At 43.0% G+C, this 4,305-nt stretch overlaps 1 annotated feature.

Moving 5' to 3' along the window:
• Positions 1,683–1,873: a silencer, noted in NCBI's record as "fragment chr15:30318078-30318268 (GRCh37/hg19 assembly coordinates)". NCBI's record gives its function as "represses an EF-1alpha promoter that drives an FKBP-Casp9 reporter gene in an ReSE screen in phorbol 12-myristate 13-acetate-treated (for megakaryocytic differentiation) K562 erythroleukemia cells {active_cell/tissue: K562(+PMA)}" and the evidence as "EXISTENCE:reporter gene assay evidence [ECO:0000049][PMID:32094911]".

Raw genomic sequence — 4,305 nt, 5'->3', positions numbered from 1 at the left:
TTTAGCATACAATGCAGTGTAATGACATAGAGGTTGTTGATGCTCAGAGATTCAATAACCCACTCATAATGTAGTAACTTTCCCCAGCCGCCTGTTATTTGCCTGGAGATAAAAATAGGTAGAGATTTCAACGTCAGAGCAAAGAGCCACTTATTGTATCTATTTAGTGTGTTATAATTAAAACTGTTGTGAATTCTGCAGCTTCATTTTGCAGAGGTTGAGAAAACCTTTTTTCAGTTTGGTTCAAGTAAATTCACACTCCCGAATCCCGTTTTGTGTTTTAGGATCTATAAAAAATGAACCTAACATTAAAAACAAAATGCAACCACACCATTGTGATATGCCTGGCCCTGTGTAGAAACTGAAGGGGTGTGTGCGAAGCCCAGCAAATATCCAAATGACACATTCATAAGCTCAGCTGAAGCTTTGTAAGTAAATTCTAAACCAAGGATGTTGTTATTCACACATGCTTTTCTTCTCAACTTTCGATTGAGGTCAGCTCCCTGACCCCATCATCAACTCTACTCTCACCTTTGAGATTGAGTTCTTTTTTGATCAATTCAACTATTGTAAGAAAAAAGAGAAAAAAAACATTGCCAGTGAGAGAGGTCACTAAAGGGGATTCAGTCTATTTACCACCCAGAGTGTTTGGAGCTGGCTGGAGCCTTAGAGACGATGGGGACATTTGCCCTTGGGGTGCCCTAGAAGAGCAGCTCAATCTCCATCTTGAGGAATCTTCCATTGGGCAACAGGGAGGACCTCCTTTTCTCTCTTCCCCAGTGTAGTCCAGAGGTCAGCCCATTTGCTCCGAGGCACTGACTCTTGAGGACATGCTAAAAGGAACTGGGCACAGTCGGAGGTCATATGGCTGTAGCAGTCTCGGCCACCACAGTAGGTCCTGCGGGGGCTCTTCCTGCCTCTCTCCTGTGTCCTGACCTCCCAGAGCTTCCTGGTCCTGCTGCTCCTGAGGGTAGAGTCAACACTTGGCATGCATCTGTGGGTATGAATGCCTCCAGCCAGAGTATCTGGTGGTTTGGGAGAAAATAACCTTGATGTTTAAATAAAACCAATGCAATTGTCCCATAGACAGTTTTTTTTTCTTTTGATAAACATAGAAATTCACCCTTCTAGTCTTAAAGCTTGAAACTTATATTTGTTTTATCCGAGTTCCTTCCTCAGGAAAGGAGCTTCAGATCTCAAAAAAAGTACCAAAGAACTGAAATTCACCAGACCGTCACATCAGACAATAAGATGTGGGACCCCTCATTCACCATGATTGCTTCCTTGCCCCTCCCTAGTTCCCGTTTTCTTACACACGGTTACATTGCTTCCCTGCCATATAAACCCCTAGTTTTAGTTAGTCAGGGAGATGCATTTGAGACTGAGTTCCCATCTCCTCTGCTGCAGAACCCGACTAAAGCCTTCGTCCTTGGCAATACTCATCGTCTCAGTCATTGGCTTTCTGTTCTGTGAGCCGCAGGACCCAGACCAAACTCCCGGTGTTTCGGTAACAGAAACAAACTTGGGGTTGGATTCCAGTTCTGCCTCTTACAGGATATGTGTCCTTAAACAAGACTTTCCCCTCCATGTCTCCTTTTCCTCATCTGTGCAGTGGGCACAGAGGCCTTGCCTGGCGTATTTACTCTCAATGAAACCTGAATGTGGGAGCACCGTTTGTACTGTAAAATGCTACACATCGGAGAACTGATTTTACCGTTGTAAACCAAAAGCCTTCAAGCCACACCAGACTTGGATTTGAAATGGCTTCACTGACTTGTCACCTCACCCTAGACTGCTAATAGTGACATCACCCATCTTTCCTCTGCCTGAAAGGACAGCAGTCGTGCAGACTTCAGGATTGGCTTAATCCAGGCGCTCCAGTTTCTTCCGGGCCATCCCTCAAGTGTCTGCCCCATCTTTACTTCTCCCCATAGTGGTGTCCAGAGGAGGCAAAAGAGACTTCTTCCACAGCTCTCTCAGGAGAAAAAAAAAAATTCCCTGGAAAGCCCAGCAAAATTCTCAGCATGTCCATTGGCCTGAGTTGGGTTTCATGCCCCTTTCTGAACTGACCTCTGGCAAAGAGAATGGGTCACCCTTTGACCAGCTACTCCCAGATCTGGGGGTGGAATCCACTTCCCCTGAGTCACATGGATTCCATGAAGTGTGTTTGTGGGTAGGTAGGGGAAAGGGTATGGTGCTGAAGAACTGCACAAAATCGGAGTTCTCTTAGAAAGGAAGCAGTGGTGAAGAGATAACATATGCACATAGAAGAGTCTGGGTGAACACATGTATGTTCAGTGTATGACCTGTTTTTGTTAAAAAAGGGGGGGATGAGATAGGGAAATATACAAATATACAAGGGAAATATACAAATATGTTATAAATACAAATATACATATTTGTGTATGCAAAAAATATATTTGGAAGGATAAACAAAGAACCTGTTCATGTGGCTTTCTCATGGGCAGGACCCAGATATCTGGAGACAGGGATGAGAGAGAAACTTTTCACTCTACACTCATTTATATTGCTTCAATTTTGAACCATGGGAATATATTGCTAATTCAAAATAATTAATAAGTCAATTTTTTTTTTTGAGATGGAGTCTTGCTCTGTCACCCAGGCTGGAGTGCAGTGATGCAATCTCGGCTCACTGCAACCTCCGCCTCCTGGGTTCAAGCTATTCTCCTGCGTCAGCCTCCCGAGTAGCTGGGATTACCGCCCCGACTAGCTAATTTTTGTATTTGTAGTAGAGATGGGGTTTCACCATATTAGCCAGGCTGGTCTCGAACTCCTGACCTTGTGATCTGCCCACCTTGGCCTCCCAAAGTGCTGGGATTATAGGTGTGAGCCACCGCACCTGGCCAATAAGTCTATTTTTTTTAAGTGGAATTCAGAAGCATGAAAGTGTGATGGAACATAATCTGGACCCTCTTAAGGACTTTGTCGAGAATAAGGTGAAGCTATGCTTCCTTATTCATCCTAGGGCCCAGTGGATAACTGTTAACCGTAATATTTACACACACACACACACACACACACACACACACACACACACCCCAAACATTAATTTTCAAAGGCAATGCAGTCTGAATTCATGCTTAAGAAGGGAAATCATCTAACTGGTTCATAATCTGAACTACAGTCTCTGCTTCCAACGGGAGAATCATTTTTTTTTTTCATTCCAAACCTCTAAAACCCAGTGATCCTCAACCAAGGGTGATTTCACTCCCAAGGGACATTTGACAATATCTGAAAACACTTTTGGTTGTCAGAACTTGGGGCATTTAGTGGATCAAGATCAGGAATGCTGCTAAACATCCTACAATGGACAGCACAGCCCCCTCAACAAAGAATTATCCAGCCCAAAATGTCAATAGTGCCAGTGTTGAGAAATCCTGCTTTAAGACAAAAAGTACCAGAAAACAGCACAGGAATCAAGCTTTCAGTGGCCACCATTTAGTAAAATGCCTGTCTTTGAAATGGTCACTTGCCTTACTCTCCGCTAGCTAAAATTCTTATGCATGAAAAAGGAAGAAACGTGGAAAGTGATGCTATCCTGGAACATGAGATGCCCCAGGACTTAATGAAGTAAAGACATCAGCCTCCCAGTCAGAGAGAGGTTTGCTTCATTCACTTTCAGGGAACGTGGCAGCCATCCAACTATGAGGCCAAGCTCTTCCTTCTTAGCACTCTACTCGTGAGCAGTTGGATGTTTTCTTTAGATTAATGTTCCAAAGTGCCAAGCATTTCTCTAAAGTGTATAAATATATCAGATCCTCACACCAGCATTTTGAGGTAAAAACATACTTATCTCCACTTCCCAGGTAAGGCTCTTAGCTTGCCACAGTCACATACCTCAGAAGTTGCTGAGCTATTATCTGATCCCTGGCATCGGGCTCCATACTCCGAGGGCTCTACAGCCTCCATATACTCAAGCCATAATACACCTCCATGTACTTTGGTGAGAACAATAAATTACTAAGTGTAGATATTGCAAAATTGTCCTCCAACAGGATTACTCTGATATATTTTCCAATGAATGATCCATGGGAGTGACTGTTTTACACATCCTCATCAACATTGTGTATCACCAGTTTTTAAATCTTGTAGTCAGCCATTAGTTCTGTTTTTCATTTCCTCAGAATGAGGTTGTGCATGTTTTCATGTGTTTATTTGCTCTTAGTATTTCTTTTTTCCGTGAGATGCTTATCCTATTTTTTACTGCTGTTGATTGTTTCAGATTGATGACTTCTTTGTTTACTAGGAACACTTAACCATTGTTCATCATGTATCACAAATATT

Source organism: Homo sapiens, chromosome 15 (genome assembly GCF_000001405.40).
Source record: "Homo sapiens chromosome 15, GRCh38.p14 Primary Assembly".
Taxonomy (NCBI): domain Eukaryota; kingdom Metazoa; phylum Chordata; class Mammalia; order Primates; family Hominidae; genus Homo; species Homo sapiens.
Note: the sequence above shows the minus strand (reverse complement) of the source record. Positions and strands in the feature narration are given on the sequence as shown.